At 35.7% G+C, this 26,842-nt stretch overlaps 1 protein-coding gene and 1 long non-coding RNA gene across 11 annotated transcripts in view; one reads left to right on the top strand and one right to left on the bottom strand.

Annotated features, from left to right (window-relative positions):
• ORC4 (origin recognition complex subunit 4) overlaps positions 1 to 26,842 on the bottom strand; it is a 91,156-nt gene that overhangs the window by 37,308 nt on the left and 27,006 nt on the right. For 5 of the 10 annotated variants that reach the window (NM_181742.4, NM_181741.4, NM_001374272.1 and 2 more), the window contains exons 2-4: positions 8,199 to 8,272; positions 5,745 to 5,821; positions 5,036 to 5,126 (exon numbers count right to left, since the gene is read on the bottom strand). The exons of 1 other annotated variant lie outside the window; for it this stretch is intronic. In NM_181742.4, the coding sequence (NP_859526.1) occupies positions 5,036 to 5,126; positions 5,745 to 5,821; positions 8,199 to 8,255 (225 nt within the window). In that variant the 5' untranslated portion in view covers positions 8,256 to 8,272. Of the gene's footprint in view, positions 1 to 5,035; positions 5,127 to 5,744; positions 5,822 to 8,198; positions 8,273 to 12,435; positions 12,496 to 14,224; positions 14,379 to 26,842 lie in introns of all 10 variants that reach the window. 4 more of the 10 variants (NM_001190879.3, XM_011511255.3, NM_001374270.1 and 1 more) reach the window with 3 other exon arrangements.
• LOC105373674 (uncharacterized) lies at positions 15,908 to 25,532 on the top strand. Its single transcript, XR_007087258.1, has 5 exons — positions 15,908 to 16,351; positions 16,520 to 16,617; positions 20,480 to 20,605; positions 22,338 to 22,468; positions 25,274 to 25,532. It is a non-coding gene; the product is annotated as an uncharacterized LOC105373674 (long non-coding RNA).

The raw sequence follows: 26,842 nt of genomic DNA on the forward strand, positions 1-26,842 counted from the left end.
TGTTAAAATTACTATATTACCAGAAGCAATCTACAGTTTCAATGATATTCCTATCATAACACTAATGATATTCTTCACAGAGATAGAAAAAAAATCCTAAAATTCATATGAAACAACAAAAGATGCCAAATCGCTAAAGCAATCTTGAGCACAAGGAATAAGGCTGGAGTCAACATACTGCCTTACTTCAAATATACTACAAAGCTGTAGTAACCAAAACAGCATGGTACTGGCATAAAAACAGACATGTAGACCAATAGAACAGAATAGAGAACCCAGAAATTAATCTGCTTATCAACAGCCAACTGATTTTTACAAAGGCCAAGAACACTCACTCATCAGGGAAAGGGCAATTTCTTCAATAAATGGTGCTGAGAAAACTGGATATGCAGAAGAATTAAACTAGATTCCCATCTCTCATCCTGTACAAAAATCATTTCATAATAGATCAAAGACCTCAATGTTAAGACCTGAAACTATAAAACTACTAGAAGAAAACATAGGGGTAATACTTCAGGACACTAGTCTAGGAAAATATCTTATGAATAAAAACTGCAAATCACAGACAACATAAAAAAATAGACAAATCTGCTAACATCAAACTCAAAAGCTTCTGCATAGCAAGGGAAACAATCAACAGCATGAAAAGACAATCTACAGAATAAATGAAAATATCTGCAAAGTATTCATCTCATAGGGATTCATATCCAGATTACACAAGGAACTCCAGTATCTCAAAAGCAAAAAACCAATTTGCTTAAAAAACAGGCAAATTATCTGAACAGACATTTCTGAAAGGACATACATATAGCCAACGAATACATGAAGAAATGCTTAACATCATCAATCATCAGGGAAATGCAAATAGAAACCACAGTGAGGTATCATCTCACTCCAGTTAGGATGTCTATTTTCAGAAAAACAAAAAATAATAAATGCTGGTGAAGATGCAAAAAAAAGGAACTTTTATACACCATTGGTGGGAATGTAAACTAGCCAATATTGAAAACAGTACAAAGGTTCCCCAAAAACCACTACAAATAGAACTACCATATGGTCCAGCAATCACACTACTGAGAATTTATATAAAGGAACGGAAATCATTACATCAGAGAGACATCTGCAGCCCGTATTTATTGTTGTACTATTCACAATAGCCATGATATGGATCAACCTAGTTGTCCAACAACAGATGAATGGATAAAGAATATGTGTATATACACACAATGGAATACTGTTCAGCCATTAAAAAAAGAAATGAAATTCTGTCATTCACAGCAACATAGATGGAACTGGAAGAAGTTATATTAAATGAAATAAGCCAGGAAAAGAAAGTTAAACACCATGCGTTTTCACTCATCTATGGAAGCCAAGAAAAGTAGGTCTTACAGAAGTCAAAAGTAGAAGAGAGGATAGGGTAGGAAGGGTAGGAGGAAAGGAGGGATAGTGAGAGATTCAATAATGAACACAAAATTACAGCAAGATAGGAGGAGTAAGTAACAGTGTTGTACTATCATTTTTCTGTAACTATAGGATGACTATAATTAACAATAATATTTTCCAATAGCTAGAAGAAGGATACTGGATGTTCCCCACATAAATAAATGATAAATGTTTGAGATGATTGATATGCTAATTATTCTGATTTGATCACTATACACTATATGCATCAAAACATCACTATATATCCCATGAAAGTGTATAATTATTATGAGTCAATTTAAAAATAAAGTATAAAAAGGTTAATTACTACCTAAAATGACTATTTTATGAAATAAATGTTTTGAGCTATTTAAGCCAGACTTAGACAAGAAGAAAAGATTCTTAGAAAACTGAAATGCAATATCAGATTAGAAGAAGCAAATGACAGCACTGGCAGTAAAGAAAATCACATTGGCCATATGACAGAATGCTGAGAGAGGGGGAAAAAACATGAAAAAGATGGTAGACATGGAAAAATGAAAACAAAGATTTAAGAACTGAATATTCTAATATTGGATATTCATTTTTTCTAATCATAAGAAAAAATGAAAGAATATTCAAAAATAAAAGAATATTATTCTTTAGTGAACAATACCCTCTAAATTTATACTAAATCAGTATGCAGAGTATTAGTGAATTTTATGATTAACTGTTAGACATAGTCTATGAATAACTAATGCAATAAAAGAAGAAAAGGAATAGAAGTATGGAGATAGGGAAGGAATAATTAAAACTGTCTTTGTTGACAGATAACATAACTGTCTAAGTAAAAAAATCTCAAAGAACTGACAAAAAAACTAATGGAATTGAGAAGCAATTATAGCAAGGTTGCAGAATACAAGCAAATATAGAAAAGCCAAGTGTTTAGCTATCTACTAGCAATGAAGACTTAGAAAAGGAAATAAAAAACACAGTACTATTCGCACTAGAACCAAAAAAATGAAAAATTAGGTATAAATCTAACGAAACATGTGTAAGATCTTTATTAAGAAAACTACAAAAACTGACAAAAGTCTTAAATAAATAGATACTCCAAGAACGGGAAGACTAAATATAGTTAAGATGTCCATTCTTCCTATTGTGATGTATAAATTTAACTCAAAATCTAGCAATTCACAAAGATTCCCAGAATTTTCTGGATATGTACAAAGTGATTCTAAAGTTAATATGAAAAGGCAAAGTATGCAGACAGCCAACACAATACTGCAGAAGAACGAGGTCAGAAGACTGACAGTACTTACCTTAAAGACTCACTAAAAATCTACAGTAATCAAAACAATGTGATATTGGCAAAAGACAGACAAAGCAAGGGAATAGAAAGAGAACCTAAAAACAGAACCACATAAACATAGTCAACTGATCTTTGACAAAGAAGCAAAGGCAATTCAATGGATAAAAGATAGTCTTTCTCCAATTGGGCATTCATTTGCAAAAAAAAAAAAGAAAAAAAAACGAATCTAAACACAGACCTTACATCTTTCACAAAAATTAACTCAAAATGAATCACAGACCTATATATAAAATGCAAAACTATAAAGCTTGTAGAAGATACATAGGAAAAAATCTACATGACTTTCGGTTTGGTGATGAAGCTTCAGATACAATACCAAAATCATAATACATGATAGAAAAAACTGACAAATTAGATTATTAAGATCAAAGACTTCAGTTGGGCACAGTGGCTCATGTCTGTAATCCCAGCACTTTGGAAAGCTAAGGCAGGATTGCTTGAGCTCAGGGTTCAGGACCAGCCTGGGAAACATGGGGAGACCTCGTCTCTACACAAAATTAAAAAAAAAAAATTAGCCAGGTGTGATGGTGCATGCTTGCAGTCCCATGTACTCAGGAGGCTGAGGTGGGAGGACTGCTTGAGCACAAGAGGCCAAGGCTACAGTGAGCTGTGATCATGCCACTGCACTCCGGCCTGGGTGAAAGAGCAAGACCCTATTCTTGTAAGTAAGTAAGTAAAATAAATAAATAAAAACTACTCTACCAAAGATACAGTTAATAGTATGAAAAGACATAGCAACATCCCATCTCAAAAATAAATAAATAAATAAATGAAATCTTCTGCTCTGCCAAAGACAATGTTATTATTAATAGTATGAAAAGAATAATATTCTTTTAATATTATGAAATAATATTAATAGTATGAAAAGAAAAGCCACAGACTGTAAGAAAATACTTGCAAAACAAAACTGAAAATCAGAAATATAAAGGACTCCTAAAACCTATCAATAAGAAAACAAATAACCCAAATTAAAAATGGGCATAAGACACCTCACCAAACATATATAGATGAAAAAGAAGTGTATGAAAAGATGCTCAACAGCATATGTCATTAGAGAATTACAAGTACAAACAATGAGACACCAATATATACCTATTAGAATGGTTAAAATAAAAAGTTTCTTAAATTTAAAAATTTAAAAATTTGAAATTTAAAAACATTTCACATAGCCCTCTTGTGAAAACTACCCAAAATAACAGTGAATTCAAATGCAAAGAAAAACCATAATAAAAAACTCAAGAATGAAGAAATAGTGATTATAGAAGCTGAGTATGAGGACTAAAACAAATTAAACATAGATTTGAAACTAAAAAATTACTGCAAATATGATTATATATAAATGTGACAATTTGTGAAATATTGAAAGAAATTACCTAGATCTAAATTCTCAATTTATATTAAACAATACTTCAGATGTGATAACAGTAAAATCCTAACGTACTCATCTTAATAATGTAATTTCAATATACATTGCTTAAATGTTAAAAAAAATTTTGCTTCTCATCCATTTTTTTAAAGTACATTGGTCAAAAATTGAAATTTATTGTATATAATACATGAGAACAGATTTTACACAGACTACTTAGCATTGAAATTAATTGCTTTCAAAAGTTAACACCCATAATTTGTCTCCTATATTGCATAAAGGATATCAAAGAAAAGAGTAAAGGGAAATAAGTAAGAATATCTTTTTGAGGTAACTAAGCAAATATGATAAAGAGCAAAAGGAGACAAGAATGATATAAGATGTGAGCATGCACTGAAAAACTGTGTAAGTTAGGGTTAAACAAATAGTAATGATGTAGGAAAAATAAAAAGAATGCATGATATGATAGTTCCCTAACCTATAACAAAGGGAAAAACCCTACCGTGCAGTGTTGATGTAAAGAATAAATGAGAGAACACAATAAAAAGACACATAGTACATGCTCAATACATGCTATTTTCTTTTTCCACTGGAAATCTCTACTTCTTTAAGGACAAAAGACCATGTTGGAACAAACATCAATTGACAATTTTTCACTAGGAGGACAAATAAGGGGGAAAAAGGTCTGCTACACTCAAATATACCACCCTAAGTTTATAAAGTTTTACATGTCTTCTGTGATTAAAAAAGAAAAAAACAAAAAAGTAAAACATTACAAAATAATGAAAAGTATTTTCAGTATTACATAAAATAAGATTTATATATGAATTTATTTATTCTTATATAAAATAAGAATCATCACATGCCAACAAACACCAGAAATCAACAGCTTTTACCATAGTTTTTCCTGATCCTCGGGGTCCGATAATAAGGACAGAGTTACTCTCTCCATGGAGAGCAGTTCTTTTCAGCAGCTCACTTAAGTGTCTAAAATGATATAAATAGGACAAAATTTTAAAAATGAAGCTGGAATACTTTGTTATGTTGTAGTTTTTAAAAGGCATATTTGAATATGCACAGAAATTTCCTCTCTTCTCTCCCTCTGGGTACTTGGCCTAGCTTCTGAATGGTCCTAAATAGAAAAATACAAAAGAAATAGTAGGGCAGTATTGATTCTCTGAAATCTTCAGGTGAAAACGTAGTCAGATTGGAATATATTGATTTATACGATAGTAGGGGACAAGGGACAATAGTGGCAACTCTCGGGACCCTTGGATTCAAATCTCTTTTCCTACTAATACTCTGGACTTTTACTCCATAGCTGGCTGCTGGGTATTAAGGGCAAGATGGCTAGAATTCTCTCCACAGTATCAGATAACAGAAACAAAACAAAATTGAAAGTTAAAGTGCTATTGCATTATGGAAATATTTGTATCTGCTCCTGCTTCATGCTATGTGGTGTTTCTATTCACAAAGCAAAATTTTTTATTTCTATAAAAGTGTTTGTTAGCTTTATTTAATATCAAATTTGTACAATAATTTTTGCAAAACCTGGAAGGCATCTGTAAGTAGGTCCATAACAGTCAAGAGGACAGCTAGACTTACTTGTATTGTACTTGCACTCCAAATAGGTTACTATGTGGACTCTGACGACAAAATCTTTCACGTAAAATTCTTTGTACCTGATGAAAATAAAGTGAATAAATATAAATAAAAATATTACACATGATATAAAAAATAAATAAGAAAGCACATTTACAATAGTCAGAATTAGGTATTAATGAATCAATTCAACCCTCCCTAAATTCTTATCCTCTAGAGTTCTGGCACCATTTTCATATGTTAAAAAATTAATGGATTTCTTACCTATCTCAAGTCCCATAGGAAGAATGAGAATTTAGTTGTGAAGGTTTCAACAAGAGGGAGAATCACTGACTTTAGCTATATTAGCAACTTAAGGGCCATTGTAATGCATGTGAACGAGTTAAGAAAAGAATTCTTGTAAGCAGCTATATTTTGAGGTCATCTTAGAACTAAGGCCTTAGACTTAGTCATGAAAAATTATGTCAGATAATCTACCATACTCTTTAAAAAGATGGACCATTAAAGTCGTTCCTTTTTTGGATCTGCAGCTAATACAGAGGTCTTTCAAGGACAACAACCTGAGGGTGCTATCTCAGATTTGGCCCCATGAACTGGAATAAAAAGGCTCCAAGAATATTTGCTTCTCCTAGACTGACAGCATGGAACTAATCCTTCATGTACCAAAGAAGTAAATCTGAGTTCTTGTTCCATGTACAGAGGCAAAGCAAAGAAAATGATTCATTAGGGACAAAACAATACATACTTGTTCATTATCGAGGAAGTTAAAGAGTAAGGACATTGGCTCCAGAAGAGTCTATTATATGAATTTTAAAAGGTTAAGTCTGTTCTAAATTTTAATTTCTGTATCTATAAAATAGGGACAATAACATCTTATGGCAGGCCTGTTTGAAAGATTAAAAAAGGGGGCTGGCCGCTGTGGCTCACGTCTGTAATCCCAACACTTTGGGAGGTCGAGATGGGCAGATCGCTTGAGGTTAGGAGTTCAAGACCAGCCTGGCCAACATGGTTGAAATCCCTTCTCTAATAAAAATTCAAAAATTAGCCAGACGTGGTGGTGGATGCCTGTAATACCAGCTACTTGGGAGGCTGAGGCAGGAGAATTGCTTGAACCCAGGAGGCAGAGGTTGCAGTGAGCCAAGACTGCACCACTGCACTCCAGCTGGGGCAACAGAGCAAGACTTGGTCTCAAAAAAAAAAAAAGGTTTAAAAAAGGCAATTATTTGTAACACAAATAGGCTTTGTACAGGTAATAGCTAATATCTGTAAAAATACATAAAAGAACATATATATGCCTCAACTAATCATAATGTGTATTCCTCTACCTAGATGAGATCAAAAGAAAAAACTCAATCTTTTCCTTAAAAAAAAAAAAAAAAAAACCCAGAAAACCTCATTAAAATATCTTAGAGGCAGTAACGGGGTATAAAATATAAGCTAGATAAAGCTACAGTGACTAGTCAGAAGGTTCACAAATCTCAAAGTGATCTGGCATAGAAGTTAAATAGGTATACACATGTATTGATATTAAGTCAGCTGTACATGGAGGATTCGTGCACTTTACATACAAAGGTATGTAAAGCATATTTCAGTTAAAAATTTTTTTAGAAAGAGAGTTAAACTACTTCCTTCAAAAAGAAAGCCAAGTCGTATAAAAGAATACCAGTAACACTTAATTTTTATTTAAAAACTACATGGAGTTCAGGTCAAGCTAGATAAATACAAATGCCAGGGTAGAAATACCATGCTCATTTCCCTACTAATCTATAAGCTTCTTAAGGAAGAGACATACAGATAGATGCTCAGCACTTGGAATACAATATACACTTCTTATAACATTCATTATAAAAACACTCAACAGATGAGGAAACGTAACGGAACTTCCTCAACTTAATAAAGGGCATCTACAAAAAAATCCTACAGTTAACATCATATATAACAGTGACAGACTGAATGCTGCTGTTTCTCTAAGATGAAAACATAGACAAGAATGTCCATTCTTCCCAATCCTATTCAACATTTTAAAGAAAGTTCAAGCCAGGGCAATTAGGCAAGAAAAGGGAAAAAAAAAAAAAGGCATCTAGATTGGAAAGAAAAAAGTAAAAGCTAGAATTCTGACTACCCAGACTTAATAAGGATAAAATTAAATTACAGTATAAAACACTAATATTAAAAAAAATATATGAACTGACAAAAAGGGCAGAGAACAATCATAACAACAAAATCTGTTGGTCCACATTTAATTTTGACAGAGTTTGGAAAATTTTGCTTCCAGATGATTGTTCTTACGACCTTGTGCTGGCATCTCGTTAAGGTCTCGTACTGATATCTCCCTAAGGTTAGAAAGAGTGATTCTTCCTAAATGCTAAAGGGAAAATTCAGGTTAAGAAGATAACTATTTCTCTGAACAGCTTTACAGGGTAAAATATCTTGAGATTAATGAAAATACATACTAACCTGTGAAAGGCACTCTGTGTGAATTAAGCTGTTACTCTTTGATTTACGACTGCTCATTTCAACAAATTCAAATCCTTTAAAAAAATTGGCATAAATATTATAAACGTAGTGACTTAAAGAGATTACTTAAGAATTTACTGTTCTAGAATTAAAATAAATACAAGTTTTTAAAAGTAAAAAATGCTCAAACCCTAAGACCTTCAAAATCTTCGATGGCTTCATTTTGTCTAAGTACAGGCTGATTCAACACTCTCATACCACACTTTAGGCACACTTTGTTTTACTGTGCTTTGCAGATGGTGCATTTTTTTTTTAAAGTAAACTGAAGGTTTGTAGCAACTCTGTGTCCAACAAGTCGATAGGCACCATTTTTCAAACACCATGTCCCCATTTTGTGTCTGTCAGCATTTTTTAGCAATAAGGTATTTTCAAATTAAGGTATGTACATTTTTTAGACATGCTACTACTGCACACTTAGTAGACTAGTATACTGTAAATATAAATTTTATATGCACTGAGAAAAGTTTTGGGTGATTCACTTTATTGTGATATTTGCTTCACTGCAATGGTCTGGAACTGAACCTACAATACCTCCAGGCCTGTATGTGGTTCTTACAGCTACTCCTCCCTTTCGATTAAATCTTCTATTCACCTTCCCTTTCTTCCTTTTTCTTTTTTTAACTTACATGCTTCCTTTATGATTCTCCCACCCATCCATCCCACAGGATCATCCCTTATAGAAAACCTTCCCTTTCTTGCTCCACTCACCAACAATACACAAATAATCATTACAGACTAGGTTAAATGCCTCTTCCTTAAACACTCATAAGTGCCTGTATTTTGCTTTATTATTGAATTATTTTAAACAAAATTGTCTGTTTAATTGCTACTGTTTCCAAATTGAGATTTTTTATATTCTAAGCATTGTAGCATAATGCCCAAAACAAAGTTGGCAATGAATAACTGGAATGAAAAAAAAATTAATGAAAAAATTATATTTTTTGTAAAATTCTCCTCAAGTGTACCATACTCATAGACAAATGACTAAAAGACCTTTGACTAAAAGACCTAATTTTCTTAGCACTGATTTCCTATAGGAATAAATTTTAACAGATAGACAGTAACAGCTTAAGCAGTGTTTAGGTATCAGGAATTGTTACAAATGCTTTGCATTTATCAACTCATTTAATCCTCAAAACTATCATGTGGAATAACTACTATTATAATCCTCTTTTAAGGTTAGAAGACACAGATAGGCTAGGTATGTTGACCAAAATCAAACAGTATATAAATGGAAGAGCCAGGATTTGGATCCAACCAAGTTAACCACTTTTTTAAAAAAGTGTATTCTGGTCTCATCTAATCTCCAGAAGGAACACAGCTTTGCTAACACCCTGAATTTAGCTCAGTGAAAGACATTTTGGAACTTTTTTACTGCCAGAACTCATAAAACTCAAAAAAAGCTGACTTATCATCAAATCACCAATGATTAACATTATAATAATGCGAGAATGACAGCAGCAAGATGAAATAGGAGGCCCTTCAGCTTGTGTCCCCAAATAGCAACAATAATTTCACAGCCACCCACGGACAAAATGGTCTTTGTGTTAGCGTTGAGATTCAGGCAGGCGTCTGTGAAACCCCAGTGGGGCCCAAGACCTGGAAAAGTCAATTGGAGGGCAGATCTTCATTCACGTGACAGATTCCCCAACTGTGGTCCAGGCTTCAGACTTGGAAAGGGCCCTGTCCTCCCGATAGGACCTTGTTACCAGGGGCTGTAGCAGGATATGAACCCTATCTGGTCCCTTGGCGGACTGGACTTTTTCTAGGACCTCGGTCTGTACAGTGGATGAAGATATGCAGAGAAAAGACCTGTTACCAGGTGTGTGGATGGTTTGGCTTTCTCTGGGAACCTGGGAGGGCTCCTACTGGATCACTGAGTAGATTCCTTAACAGGCAGTACTGCCCTAGTCCACAGCTGAGTGGGGCTGGAACTAAGCTACAGGGTTGCTTCAGGGCCTACAGTCAAGACTTAGGTCTTCAGGCCTAAGGTGTCACAAACCTGCATGTCTCCCTTCAGGTCCTTAAGTTAGCGGGCCTGCTGTATTGAGAGGGGCTGGAGCCACTTTTCAGGGGTGTTTCAGGGACTGATGAGGGACCTAGGTCAGGTGGCCTGTTTGCAGGGCTATGGACAGCCCCATCTCCCTCCAGGATGCTGGGTAGGCAGAACTGCTCTCTGACCACAGCTGAGAGGGGCTTATGCCAAGATTCAGGGTTGTTTCAGGACCTGCTGTGGGACTGAAATCTGCCTGCCTGTCCTGAGGACACAGAAGGATGTATCTCCTGACTACAGGAGGATTTCTGTGCAGGATTTCTGTAAGACTGTGGCTGAGTGGAGCTGAATCCCCGATTCAGAGCTTTTTCAGCATATGCTATGGGACAGAGATTGGCAAGTCTGTACTGATGGCACAGACAGGTGAGTCTCCTAGCAGTTCCTTGTGCAGGCAGGGTTGCTCTCAGGCTGCAACCAACAGTGGCAGGAGCTGAGCTTCAGGGCTGTTTCAGTATTTAATGCAGGACCAAGTTCAGAAAGCTTGACCCAGGGATTCAGACAGTTTTGTCTTCTTGTGGGTCCTTGAACTGATCTCAGACCATAGCCAAGTTAAAGTGTCTTATCAGGGTCCGCAGTTGGGACTGAGGACAGTGGACTTATTTTCTGAGGTACCAGTGTGCATGAATTTTCCCAGGCCTCTTGGTGAACAGTTTCGGTAGCAGGCCAATATCCTTGATGAATATAGGTGCAAAAATCCTCAACAAATACTGGCAAATCTAATTCAACAGTACATTAGATCAATTACCATGATCAAGTGGGATTTATCTTTGGAATGCAAAGACGGTTCAACATATGTAAATCTATAAATGTGATATAATGCATTAACAGAATGAAGGACAAAAATCACATGACTGACTCAACAGATACAGAAAAAGCTTCTAACAGAATTCAATATTCCTTCAGGTTTAAAAACTGTCAATATATTAGGTATAAAAGGAATATACTTCAACACAATAAAGGCCATATATAACAAACTCACAGCTAACATCACACCCCAAAGGTAAAAAGTTGGAAGCTTTCCCTCTAAGATCAAGAACATGACAAGAATGCCCACTTTGGCCATTTATATTCAATATAGTACTGCAAGTCCTAGCCAGAGGAATTAGGTAAGAAAAAATAAATAAAAGGCATCCAAATCAAAAAAGAGAAAGTTAAATGGTCTGTTTGCAGATAACATAATTTTATATAGAGAAAATCCTTAAGACTCTACCAAAAAACTGTTAGTACTAATACATACAGTAAAGTGGCAGGATACAAAATCAACATAAAAAAATCAATAAGATTTCTCCACACTAATAACTATTTGATAAAATTAAAAACCAGTCCTAATTACAATAGCATCAAAAACAAATTAGAAAGAAATGTAACAAAAGAGGTGAAAGGTCTGTCACTGAAAACTATACAATATTGATGAAAGAAAGTGAAGACACAAATAAATGGAAATATACTCCATGTTCATGGACTGAAAGAATCAATGTTATTAAAATGTCCCTACTACTGGAAGTGAAGGTTCAAAGTAATCCATATCAAAATTCTAATGACATTTTTCATAGAAATAGAAAAAAATCCTAAAATTCATATGGACCCACAGAGACATTTAATAGCTAAGACAATCATGAGCTAAAGAACAATGCTGGAGGTATCAGACTACCTGATTTCAATACCTAGTGCAAAACTAAGATAATTCAAAACAACATGGTTCTGGCATAAAAACAAACATACAGACCCCAGAATACAGAGTCGAGAAATAAATCCATACTTTTACAGTTGACTTATGTTCAACAAAAGTGCCAAGAACACACAACGGAGTAAGGACAGTCTCTTCAAGAAATGGTGTTAGGAAAACTGGATATCCACAGGCAGAAGAATGAAATTGAACCCTTATTGCACACCATATACAAAGATCAACTAAAAATGGATTAAAGACAAACATAAGACCTGAAACATAGGGGAAGAAAACACAGGGGGAAAGCTTTTTGACACTGGACTCGGCAAAGATTTTTTTGGGATATGACTCCAAAAGCAGAAGCAAGAATAATGAAAACAGACATAAAACTAAAAAGCTTCAATCAACAGAGTGAAGAGACAACCTTCAGAATAAGTGAAACTATTTGCAAATCTTACATCTGCTAACAGGTTAAAATCCAAAATATGTAGTCGCTCCTCATCAGCAGATTCAACCAACTTAAGAGAGAGAAAATTTAGAGGGGAAAAAAAATGCAACAATAAAAATTAATATAAATTTTAAAAACAATACATTATAATAGCTATTTACAAAGCACTTACATTGTATTAGAAATTATAAGTAATCTAGTGATGATTTAAAGAATATGGGATATGTGTAGGTTATACGCTAATACCATGCCAATTTATAGAAAGGACTTGAGCATCTACAGATTTTGGTATCTCAGGGGAGTCCTGGAACCAGTTTCCCGTGGATACAGAGGGATGACTGTATAAGGAACTAAAAAAAACAAAAACAAAAACAACAACAAAAAAAACTTAATAGCAAGGAAACAACCCAATTTAAAAAATGGTCAAAAAGATTTCTCACAGGACATAAAAATGTCAAATAGGTATTTGAGAAAATTCTCAGTGTTACTAATTGTCAGGGATTTTCAGGGAAGTACAAACAAAACCACAATGAGATAACATTTCACACCTGCTAGGAAGGCTATTGTCAAAAAAAGGCAAAAGATGATGAGTGTTGTTGAGGATTATGAAGAAAGGAAACTCTTGTACACTGTTGGTAAAAATGTAAATTAGTATAATCATTATGGAAAACAGTATGGAGGTTCTTGAAAAAATTAGAAGTCAAATTACATGACCGGTAATCCCACTCCTGAATATCCATCAATATATACAAAGGAAATGAAATCAATATGTCAAAGATATATCCTCACTCCCATATACACTCCAGCATTATTCACAGCCAAAATACGGAATCAACCTAAGTGTCCATCAATGGATGAAAAGATAAAGAAGATGTGGTATATATACACAATAGAACACTAACTCAGCCTTAAACAAAAAAGAAATCCTGTCATTTGCAGCAACATAGATGCATTTGGGAGATATTCTGTTAGCTGAAATAAGCCAGGCACAGAAAGACAAACACCACATAATCTAATTTATACAGTAGTCTCTCCTTATCCATGGGAGATGAATTCCAAGGCGCCCCTCGCATGTCTGAAATCATGGATAGTACCCAACTCTCTCTATATACTATGTTCTTTTAATCTGATAACCTAGATGGCTACTGAGTGATTATGGGACACATGCAATACACAGCATGGATACGCTGGACGAAGAAATTATGTATGTCCCAGGCAAGACAGAGCAGGACACTGCAAGATTTCATCACATTACTCAGAGTGGCATGCAATTTAAAACTCATGAATTATTTATTTCTGGAGTTTTCCATTTAATATTTTGGAACTTCAGCTGACCAAAAGTAACTGAAACAATGGAAAGTGAAACTGAGGATAAGGGAGGGACTACAATAGGTGGAACCTCTAACAGGGGAACTCATAGAATGAAAGCAGATTTTAAATTTTCTTACTACAAAAAAATGGTATGTGAGGTAACAGATATATTAATAGGCTTAATTTTGTCATTCCACAATGTATACCTATATTAAAACATTATGCTGTATACCATAAATGGATAAGATTTTTATTCATCAATTAGAAAAAAAACATATAAAATATACATCAAAAAGCAAGTAAGTGCAGAGCCAGGATTTGAATGATTTGAACCCAAATAAGTTGTACTCTTATGAAATTGTTACGTATTTAGCAAACTTTTTTGAAAAAAGAAGTACAAACACATTTCAATAACCTGAAGGAAGATCAGCCAATATATTTTACATTCACATTTATTAATTTCATATAGTGACAATTAGAAAGCAAACCATGGTAATGCTGTTTTCTTCTCTAGAAATGTTAACAGGTCCTTAGCTGAGCCAGGCCTTGACAGACAGACAGCAAGCAAATCTGTGTCCTCCTTAATGTGTAAGCCAGGTAGCTAAGGCCTCAGCCACCAAAAGTCCTCTGGCTCCAGGCTTCCTAATTGAAAATTAAATAACAGAGTACTCAATTATTGTCTTGACCCTTAAGCATCTTCTTTCTTAGAAGAAAAGTGGTCTTCTCAGCTGTCTTAGGATACCTTCTAGCAGTCTTTTATATCTAAAGTTTTATCTTATTCTATTTTTTATTTTTCCTAATCAGTGTTATGAGAGGGAAAAACCTTTTTAGCTAATAAAATATCCTCAACTCTGGTTTATGATGCTCTTGACTATCAGCCAAAATCTAAAATCACAAAGAACTATGTAATAATTGTCTCCTAGATTATAAGACTAATTAAAATGTAAAAAGGAGAAAGGGCTTTTGCAGTATGTTTTATTTTGTAGAACTACATTAGCTATCTTACAGTATTGTTAGAATTAAAAGATATTTTTTACCCACTTCATGAATTAAGAAAGAATTACTCAAAAAAGCTAAATAAATGTCCACAGTTCCAAGGCAGGTATCTAATCTGCCCCTTTGCATCATATATAAATCAGGTAAGCTATTAAGATAATTCATTTTTTCTTCATGTGGGGCCAGCATTCATAAAAGAAACAACAAACATGCCACTATGGTATCTACCTTATAACCTACATAAATTTTGACTGTAAATAAAGTTTTAGTCCAAAGGTTATTTTGACATCTTCCCCCTTCATGTAATGGTCAAATATCTACTATATAATAAAGAATATTTCAAAGACAATTCTAATAGTACAGATGAGACAAGCTTCAGACTGGGAGAAAATACCTGCAAACCACATATCTGACAAAAGATCTGTATCTAAAGAACCCTCAACACTCAATAATAAAAAAGGAATCCCATTAGAAAATAGGCAAAATACATAAGTAGACATTTCACCAAAGATATGCAGGTGGCAAATAAGCATATGCAAAGATGTTTAATATCATTATCCGCTAGGAAAATGCAAAGTAAAACCATAGTAAGATACCACCACACACTGATTAAGGCAGCTAAAATAACACAAAGATGGTGAGGATGTAAAGAAAATGAATCTTTCATTTAACCACTGGTGGGAATGTATAATGGCATGGCTACTCTGAAAAGTTTCTTGACAGCAGTTTCTTAGAAAACTACAAATACTCTTACCAAGCCACATAGCAATTGCACTCTTGGGTACTTACCTGACAGAAAAACTTATGTTCACACAAAAACCTGTAACACGTATGTTCATGATAAATTTATTCGTAATAGTCAAAACACTGGAACCGATTCACTCAATGAGCCAATGGGGTTAATGAATTAGTTCCACTGATGCTTTGTCACTGAAGTCAGGAAGTACCCAGACAGTAAGGGACTGCCTTTTGAAGTTCTTCTGATATTGGACAATGCCCCTGGCTACCCAGAATCCCATGAGTTCAACACCGAAGGCTTTTGTCCAAGTGGTCCACTGGTCCCCAAACACAAACTCTCTAATTCAGCCTGTAGATCAGGGGGTCATAGGGACCTTTAAGGTTCATTACACACAGAACTCTATGGAAACGAATGTCAACACTATGGAAAAACCTCCACAGACAGAACATGATGAAAGTCTGGGAGGATTATCCCATTGAAGATGCCCTGTTGTCATAGAAAAAGCCATGAAAGCCAACAAGACTGAAACAAATTTCTGCTGAAGAAATCTATGTCCAGATGTTGTGCATGACTTCACAGGATTTACTACAAAGCCAATCAAGAAAATCATGAAAGAGATTGTAGACACGGCAAAAAGGGTGGGGAGTGATGTGTTTCAACATATGGGTCTTAGAGAAATTCAAGAGCTAACAGATACCACACCAGAGGAATTAACAGAAGACAAGGTGGAGATAGATGCTTCTGAACCACTGCCAGACAGTGAGAAAGATGCAGAACAGTGCCAGAAAACAAACTGACATTAGACAATCTGGCAGAACGGTTCTGAATATACAAGACTACTCTTGACTTCTTTTACGACATGGACCCTTCTATGATACAGGTACTGGAATCAAAGCAAATGGTTGAGGAAGGGTTGATACTGTATAGAAACATTTTAAAAGAAATTAGAAACCAAAAGAGATAGACAGAAATTACCTGTTTAGTTACACCCAGTGTGCCTAACCTGTCTTGTCTCCCCTTCTACCTCCTCCACCTCTTCTACCCCTAGGCAACAAGATCAACCCCTCCTCTTCCTCCTCAGCCTACTCAACAGGAAGACAAGTAGGATGCAGACCTTTACAATGAGCCACTTCAACTTAATGAATAGTAAATATATTTTCTATATATAGTAGATATATTTTCTAAATATCTTTTCTTTACCTTACTTTATTATAATAATACAATATATAATACATACATAAAATATATATTAATTGACTATGTTACCAGCAAGGCTTCCAGTCAAGTAGGCTATTAACAGTTAAGTTTTTGGGGAGGCAAAAGTTATATGCAGATTTTCAACTGCTTTTGGTAGGGAGGGGGTGTTTCGACCCCTAACCCTTACATTGTTCAAGAGTCAACTGCGTATGGAGGAAATTCTCATTACTGCAGTTCCAGAGCACTACTATACATCAGAGAGCTACTGACCATTTTAAATTTACTTCTGTATTGACAAAGGACAAAAATTATAGGAATTGTAAAAATGTGTCATCTAAAGCTGTCTGCTCTCTAAATTGCCTATGTGCATTTCCCCATGACAGTAAGTCCCCTACAATCTATACCTTTACAAAGGAAGGGATGAATTCTGAAATATATTCACTGACCACTACTTACTGTATCTGTATTTGAAATTTTATAGTTACATGCTAACTAAAGCAGGATGACTAAATAATCTCAAGACTCAATCACATGTATATTCATACTCCCATTTTTCAACTGAGGTGGCTTATTTATTGTAATTCTCCATTCCTATGCTTTCCAAGGGTTGCTTGTTGATAAATTCTAAAAATTATGAAGTACATCCTTTACTGCTCTTGAGGTTTCATGAGTACTTATAACTCTTCTTTCTCATGATGCCTTCCTCAGATCCAAACCCTCACTCAGAGCCTCTTTGTCTACCACACTGATTCTGCATAATGTATTTTAGACTAACTCTGTTTGGCCAACAATAATGATAACTATTCAGTAAACTCTCTGTTTTTTTTGTTTTTTTGTTTTTTTGAGACAGAGTCTCGCTCTGTTGCCCAGGCTGGAGTGCAGTGGCGCTATCTCGGCTCACTGCAAGCTCCACCTCCCGGGTTCACACCATTCTCCTCCCTCAGCCTCCTGAGTAGCTGGGACTACAGGCGCCTGCCACCATGCCCGGCTAATTTTTTGTATTTTTAGTAGAGACGGGGTTTCACCATGTTAGCCAGGATAGTCTCGATTTCCTGACCTCGTGATCCGCCTGCCTCGGCCTCCCAAGGTGCTGGGATTACAGGCGTGAGCCACCGTGCCCAGCCTTAGTAAACTCTCTTAACATCTAAAGACAGAATTAGAAAATAGCTGACACTAACAACTTATTCCTACATATAGCTCAATAGCCATTCAGATGTCAAATGTTTTCCTACCTTAGAAATAGAACATAAAAGCCCTCCATTTAGTTTGCACAACTAACTTAAGCTCCTCATCTTAGGTTAGTTCTAATCACTGTTTTTTAGACTAACATAATCCTAAACTTTGTGGGAGAAGCAACCTGGATGAACTCCTGGTGACAGTCCTTCATGTCAAATTTGAAGTTTGGTCAATTTACCAAATACCTCTCTGCTTGCTGACTAGCAATGGTATACAATGACCTGCCCAAGATGACATAGCTTACTTAACAGCAGCAGTAGCTGTTAGGTCTATTGACTCCCAATCAGAGGTTGGTTAGTCTCAACTGGCATGAAAAAAAACCCTGCAAACATCAGAAAGTTCATCAAAATCATCACTGGGCTTTTCTTTAGGAGACAAAACATAGCAGAGGAATACATTCTGAAAGAACACGGTTATTATAACAGATGTTCAATACCAACAATTCACTTCTCTTTGAATGTCTATGTGTACAATTTGTATTTTTTTCTGTACACATCTTTATTTTTAAGATCATAAACTTTCTTCCCATCGCTAAAAAGGAATACATGTTTCGTACAGAAACTCTGGAATTTTAATTAGGAATTGTGCAGATAAAATGGTAAAAAATGGAATCAGAGAATCTTTCTCCTCTAATAAAACAAAACAAAAAACTGTTAAACAGAAATACTTTAGCAGTAACTAAACAAAGAGACAAGTTAATAATAAACAAGCCTAGAAAATTCTACAGGAGTTCTCCATAGTTCCTAACTTTAACCTCACTCTTAAAAGCTATACTTGCATCAATAAAATCTCCTAAACTCTCATCAATGTATCAAATATGAAAAGAAGAAAACTGATAAAAACTGTAATTCAATTATTAAATTTCAAGCCTAAAAAAAAGAATTCACTGGGACTCAGCCTGAAAAACACCTACAAGGGAGAAAAAAATGCTAAAATATGGTGTCATAATATCTACAAAGTTCTGAGAGAGAGACCAAGACTCATACCTAGCAAAGATGTCACTCACATATAAAGGTAACAGGTATAGCCTTATCAAATAAGAATGAACTTATTTAGTACACAGAGCCAATAAAGCCTTGTGTGGAGTGTGTGTGTTGCAGGAGGATATGGGGAACTCAATGACAAAATCCAGCCAACTAAAGCATAATTAAAAACACAATTTTATACAGACACACACACACATACACACACACACACACACACACACTAGTGACCTTTGAATCCACTAAAATAAAAAACTAAAACCAAAAAAAGGTAAATAATTATAGTAGCAGGTGGAAACATAAGTCGTTACACAGTGAAAATAATCATTCAACAAAAAAATGAAAAAAAAGTGGCATGAATGCATACGGTTGCTAATTTCATTCTTCAGAGTAGAAAGAAAATGTCTAAACTTAAAACATGAAGTGTAAAAAAGGAACTTAAAACTATTTTTTTTTTAGACCCAGGGTCTCACTGTATTGCACAAGCTGGATTTGAATTCCTGGGCTCAAGAGATCCTTCCGTCTCAGCCTCCTAAGTAGCTGGGTCAACACCTTGAGCAGCTTGAAACTTTTTTTAACCTAAGATTGAGATCTTTAAAAAAAAAAAAATCTCTTGGGTTTAATAAATATCTAAAGTCCAGCAATTCCTATAATTTTTATTAGGTTAAAAATGTGGCCTGCCTACACACACACATACTTTTTCAACCAAAATGGGCTCTATTTCATAATATTTGTCATTTAAAAGAACAAGAACTTTCCATATATAGATATATATATGTGTGTGTGTGTGTGTATATATATACACACACACACACACACACAAAAAGTAACATATTTTAAATTATTTTTTCTACAGCTACCATAAGGTAAAAAACAAAAATAAGAATTAGTGGATCAAATTGTTTAAGAAAAAGAACCATGTACCTCAGCTGGATAATCAAAAGTACTCTAGTATTATGAGCATCTTACTAGTAATTACGACGCCAGGAGCTGTAACACTGTGTACCCAAAAAAAAGCATTTAAGGAGAAAACAGGTGTGAACATGTCCGATTTATTTAGTTTCAAAGTTGTCCAAGCACAGGTCAAAGAGGTAACAACAAACAATTTTTCCTATCTTTCATATAAATGGTCAGTAAGGTGGCTGGTGCAAAATAACCCTCTGGAATAAGAAAGTATTGTAGGCTGGGCACAGTGGCTCCCACCTGTAATCCCAGCACTTTGGGAGGCCGAGGCGGGCAGATCATGAGGTGAGGAGATCGAGACCATCCTGGCTAACATGATGAAACCCCATCTCTACTAAAAATACAAAAAATTAGCCAGGTGTGGTGGCCGGCGCCTATAGTCCCAGCTACTTGGGAGGCTTAGGCAGGAGAATGGTGTGAACCCGGGAGGCGGAGCTTGCAGTGAGCCAAGATAGAGCCACTGCACTCCAGCCTGGGCAACAGAGCGAGACTCTGTCTCAAAAAAAAAAAAAAAAGAAAGTATTGTAATATGTTTACCTATAAATATCTATCCAAAAAATAAGAGCTAAATTAAACTTAACTAATATTTAATATATACATTGACAAATTTTACTTGGTCTCTGTATCAGCAGGTCAAGTCATGTTACTCAACCCAGACGCCCTAAGGAAAGGGAAGAGTTCAAGATCAATAACAAGAAGGGGTTCCGAGTGGCACCATCACATATTCATTTACTGTCAGCTCATTAATACACAATGTAGGTATATGAATCCAGTTTGGAGACATTACTGAATCCAGCTGACTTACTGAATTTTTTTTTTTTTTTGAGACAGAATCTCGCTCTGTCGCCCTGGTGGGAGTGCAAGGTTGCAATCTTGGCTCACTGCAACCTCCGCCTCCTGGGTTCAAGCTATTCTCCTGCCTCAGGAGATAGGAGCTGGGATTACAGGCATGTGCCACCATGCCTGGCTAATTTTTGCATTTTTAGTAGAGATGGGGGTTTCACCATGTTGGCCAGGCTGGTCTCGAACTCCTGACCTCAAGTGATCCACCCACCTTGGCCTCAGTTGGGATTACAGGCCTGAATCACCACGCCCAGCCTCACTTGCTGAATTTAAAGATGTTATTATTTTTAAAATGTAAGTGAAATAATCTCAGCTGTTCCAACTGCAGCTTTTTCCTGGAATGAAAAATGGCTGCCTGTCAACAGCATGCTGCTTAGTAAATAAAAAACAAAAAGCAAAAAAAAAAAAAAGATTTACTTCATCTGGAATTTTAAAATAAAAGTAGGAAAGAAACTGCTTTTTAGAAGAAATTTGTGTTATAGGGCATTTTGAAAATGTTTCCAACACTGATTTTATAGCCAAAAATTAGGTGTTACCTATAAAAATTCTCATATCTATACACTTAAAACATTTATAAACATAACTTTTTATTCTATTCACAAATATTTCTGTAAATAATGTAAGTTTTATATGTGTTGACCTAAAAGGAAAGAAGTTGAGGCAAAATTAATAACATACATAGAGAGTTCATTTGAGCCAAGCTTGAGGGTTGCAACCAAGGAGCATAAATTCAAGTTGCCCTGAATATGCTCATTAGCAGCAGTAACAAGTAGATTTTTAAAGAGAAAAAGAAAAATAAAAAGGCACGCTCTGAGTTGTTCACCAAGAATCTACATTAAAATAACAAACTATCCATTGGCTACAGAGTGGCAGGGGGTAGGGAGTTGGGGTGGAGTATGGGGGCATAACTGAAGTCCCATACTACTCACATCTCTCTGGGCCTGCATACCTCAGAGCTCAGACTGTTCTGAGCATTTTTTGTTTTCTCATACCCATTTGTTAAAAATATAAAAACATACCACTTTTCGGCTGGGCGCAGTGGCTCACACCTGTTATACCAGCACTTTGGGAGACTGAGGTGGGCAGATCACTTGAGGTCAGGAGTTTGAGACGAGCCTGGCCAACATGGTGAAACTCCATCTCTACTAAAAATACAAAAATTAGCCAGGTGTGGTGGCACGTGCCTGTAATCCCAGCTACTCAGGAGACTTGAGGCAGGAGAACTGCTTGAACCCAGGAGGCGGAGGTTGCAGTGAGCCAAGATCGCCAACACTGCACTCCCACCAGGGCAATAGGGCGAGACTCATCTCAAAAACAACAACAATAGGAACAACAACAACAAGAAACAAAAACCATGCACCACTTTCCAAGAACACTAATTTATATCAAGTTTTTCTTAGTTTGGAATAAGAACTAACACATCAAGAGAAGATGAAATTGGCTAACAACTCCTACAAAAACCTTGGTAAAATTAGTGGATGAGACTAGAAAATATAATTCAAAAATACACAAATGATCATGTATTATTTTCTCTAATACCCTTACTTTGAGGCAAAACCTTACAGCTCCAGCAGATGGGGGCATTACTTTGTGAAAAGAACTCTTAGTAAATTAAAAAGATGTTTAATACTGCTTTCTTTCCAGATGGTGGCAGAAGAAAACACCGAAAACAATACCACTACCCCACTCCCTTTATTAGAAAAAAGTTAAAATACAAATTCTATTACTGTTTACCTAGGACCTAACTTCACACGGCTGACATTTCTCAAAGATAGGTAAGTATGGACAAAATTTCAGAACTTTGCCTCTCTTCAGTTCGATAAAATGTTCTTGATTTGCTAGCTAAACAGTCAAATAACGTAAAATGAAAGGTATTTTAGGAGAAATTTGAAGGTGGTTTCCATGTTTTGTTACTGTCCTTTGAGATGAAACTGAGGCAAGAAAAATACATTTAAGCTGTTTTTCAGTCCATCAGAATTAGTTTTCATTCTTTTTTCTCCCCCAGTTGGATTGTTTGTACAGAGGTAAAGATTAAAATAGAGTTAAAAGAATGGTTGAGTGTGGGGAGAAATAAGGGCCAATACTGATATATATTCCAAGTTAGAAAATAAGTAAACTCTGTTAGTTCTTCCTAAAGAGATCAGCTCAAAAATGCTATCTATATCAAGTTGGGGCACAGCCTCTGGTGAGATGTTTCCTTGAGTTCTCCAGAGCTGAAGAATAATTCCACACAAATCAACTTTTGGACCACAGGTGAATAAACCATGGTAATTACTGACAGTTTTGTAAAATCTTTTTTTCCTCCTCATTTGTTGCCAGTGAATATTAAAAGGACACAATTTACTTAAGGACACATTCAGATTAAATGATTCCAAGGTTTGATAACCTTTAGTTAAGTAATATGATGCCATGATATTTTCTCATTGATATTAAAATGAAGAAAAATATTTTATAATGTCTTGGTACTTAAACTGATTAAATAATTGAAAAGGCTTGCAATTCTCCAGAAAAGCCATGTTCTCTCTAACCTCTGAATTTCAGTAATCTTCACTAGTACATGGCAGTATGTCTGGAATCATATATACACAGACACACACAACCACACATACATATATATACACACATATGAATATAAACGTATATACATATATATCTTTTTTTTTTTTTTTTGAGCTGGACTTTCACTCTGTCGCCTGGCTGGAGTGCAGTGGCACCATCTCAGCTCACTGCAACCTCCACCTCCAGGGTTCAAGCGATTCTCCTGCCTCAGCCTCCTGAGTAGCTGGGATTACAGGCATGCGCCACCACGCTCGGCTAATTTTTGTATTTTTAGTAGAGATGGGGTTTCACCATATTGGCCAGGCTGGTCTCGAACTCCTGACCTGGTGATCCGCCCACCTCAGCCTCCCAAAGTGCTGCTGGGATTACAGGCGTGAGCCACTGCACCCCATACATATATATCTTTTAATAAGTGTACTTACTTTATAAAGTACCTATTAGAGCCTTGATATTCATGAATAAGCCAATAAAGTTGTTTTCAAGAACATGGGAGGTAAATAGTTATGAAATAAACAACCCCCAGAAGGATAATCAGAGAGTTAATACTATGATATGTTCAGTAAAGAAAGACATTTAGAAATTACTACAGTTGGCCGGGCATGGTGGCTCACACCTGTAATCCCAGCACTTTGGGAGGCTGAGGCGGGTGGATCACCTGAGTTCAGGAGTTTGAGACCAGACTAGACAACATGGTGAAACCCCGTCTCTACTAAAAATACAAAATTAGCCAGGTGTCGTGGTGCGTACCTGTAATCCCAGATACTCGGGAAGCTGAGACAGGAGAATCGCTTGAACCGGGGAGGCGGAGGCTGCAGTAAGCGGAGATTGCACCACTGCACTCCAACCAGGGCAAGACAGAGCAAGACTCCGTCTCACAAAATGAAAAAAAGACATTACTACAGTTGTTTTGATTATTAACCATGGAATACACCTTGTAAATGATACAAAGTATCAATTCTGCAGTAGTGTTGATGAATGAATAAAAAAGAAATACTAGTTGGAGGACTTCTTTAAAGTATACGTCTTAAAATGCATTTACTTCTGAATTATATAGGCTAACAAAAGAACTAACACAAATTTGCAACGTATTTAGAAATCCTTTAGAAGCTTTGGAAATGCATTATATGATCTTACTGGCACTGACATAACTACATCTTAAATATTATAGTGATCAACAGTAGTCTATGTTCTCTGAGCACATGGAAGTAGGCTACCTTCAGGATTTAAGCTTGTGAATCCAAGCTAATGTGTTTAATTGGATGGATAAATAGTATAAGGGCGACAGACACTTGAATCAACGAAAACTTTTTTTTGTTTTTGGTTTAAGAGATGGGGCTTCCCTCTGTCAACTAGGGCAGTGGCACGATAATAGCTCACTGAAGTCATGAACTCCTGGCCTCAAGCAATCCTCCTGACTCAGCCTCCTAAATAGCTGGGATTACAAGTGTGAGGTACTGCCCCTGACAAAAATATCATTTTTGTGAAGGATGGTTGCATTATATGGGACACAAGATTTAAGACTAGGGCACTAAAATTGGTGGGTGAGAAGGCACATGTAGACAAATTTTCCTTGAAAAGCCCCAAACTACACATAAATTACAGAACTGTACTTTCTTGCAATATCAATTACTTCAGGGTATATGTTCATTTGAGAAGAATAATGAATAGAATACTGTCCACTATTCAAATAAATTTTTCCTTTGCCACGTTTACAGACTTGAGTTTACTTAAATGTAAGTATGATACTGCTAGGGCTAAGGAAATGATACTCCAAAATAAAGTCCTCCAAAGCAGCTCTCTCTGACCATCTCCTAACTTCCTGTCTCTGGCCTCTCATTCTCCTGAGGCTAGCCACTGAAACTACCATCCCTCGTCCCCAAGGTAGTCCACAGAAACCAGAACTCCCTTTCCCCAAAGCCAGCCACAGAACCTAAATATATTACTCTAATGTTCCCTGCCCTCATCTTTCTGTGTAAAAACTAACTATAAAGACATATCTGACCTATTCTGTTTGATTGTAGGTCATAGGATCCCCATTCCAGAAAGGGTGCTGTTCCATACCCGGAAGGAAAGAATGCTGCACAGAGAGGCCAAGAAGAATCTATACAGACAGGCAGGCCTTGCTGGGTTTCCCCACTCAGTATATGGCTGTCCAGACTTTGCTGAACCTAAGCATACCAATGGGCAGTTTTCTCCTATATCTTTAGGTCTTTATTCTGAAGGCTCCCATGTCACGTAACACCAAGATCAAATAAAATCATATGCCCTTTCTCCTATTAATCTGCCTTTTTTCAGCTGATTTTCAAAGAACCTTCAGAGGCTGAAAGGGAAGTTTTTTCTTGGCCCCTACAATATGCTACAACTCCAGTAAGTTAATTAGTAAATATTAAACTATTTTTGGAAGGAAAAAAAACTGAAAATAACATTGCTTTAGAGATAAATTATTTAAGAATTGCTAGAAATTACCCTAGAAATTATCCTAGAAAAATCTTAAAATTTTCCCTAAAAACTTTTAGGAATAATACATTGTTTCTAATGAGACCCTTCAGCTTATGCAAAAAGCACAGGAGACTAAATTCTAGAGTCAACGAAACGATATTCTCCAATTCTGTTTTGCTAATGAATATGTTGTCCATCCCCCCATCAGCATGCTTAGGTAATCTTGCAAGGATAAATGGAAATGTCAGTTGACATTTACAATGAAATAGGATTTTTAGACAGTTGTGCTTTTTGGGTGGGAAAAGGAGAGCTAAAAATTAGGGGGTTGGGGGCTTAAAAAAGACAGCATTATATGGCTTAGAACTTTGGTACCCTACCTTCATCCTTTTCTGCAATCCCTTTTACTCCCCAAAGTTAAAAGGCTATCAATGGGACAATAATTGATGATCAACTATGAAGAAATAGGCTCAAATACACTGTTTTATTATATTTTTATCATTCTTTATATACCTTTTCTCATCATTCTTTGTCCCAATAGTATGCTATGATTATGCACGTAGAAAATCCCAAAATAACAACAAAATCACTGGAACTAATAAACTACTGTAGAAAGGTTGCAGGATACAAGGTTAATATACAAATTGTCAACTTCCTTCCTATGTATCAGTAATGAACAACTGAAATTAGAAATTAAAATAATACCATATACATTAGCAACAACAACAAAAAACATTCACCAAAAATGTAGATATAAATCTAACAAAATATGTACAAGATCTCTATGAGGATCACTATAAAACTCTGATTCAAGAAATCAAAGAAAGTCTAAATAAATGAGATCATTCAAGAGTAGAAAAAAATTCGTATTGTTAAATGTCAGTTCTTCCAACCTTGATCTATAAATTCAATGCAATCCCAATCAAAATTCTGGATAGTTATTTTGTGGATATGACAAACTGATTTTAAAGTATACACAGAAAGACCCAGGAGAACCAACACGATACCGAAGGAGAACAAAGTTGGAGGACAAAACCTACCCAACTTCAAGACATTATAAAACTATACTAATCAATACAGTGTGATAATGGTGAAAGAACAGACAAATCAAGGGAACAAAACAGAGCCCAGAAATAGGCCCACATAAACATAGT

The sequence above is a fragment of the Homo sapiens genome, chromosome 2 (genome assembly GCF_000001405.40).
Source record: "Homo sapiens chromosome 2, GRCh38.p14 Primary Assembly".
NCBI classification, from domain to species: Eukaryota; Metazoa; Chordata; class Mammalia; order Primates; family Hominidae; genus Homo; species Homo sapiens.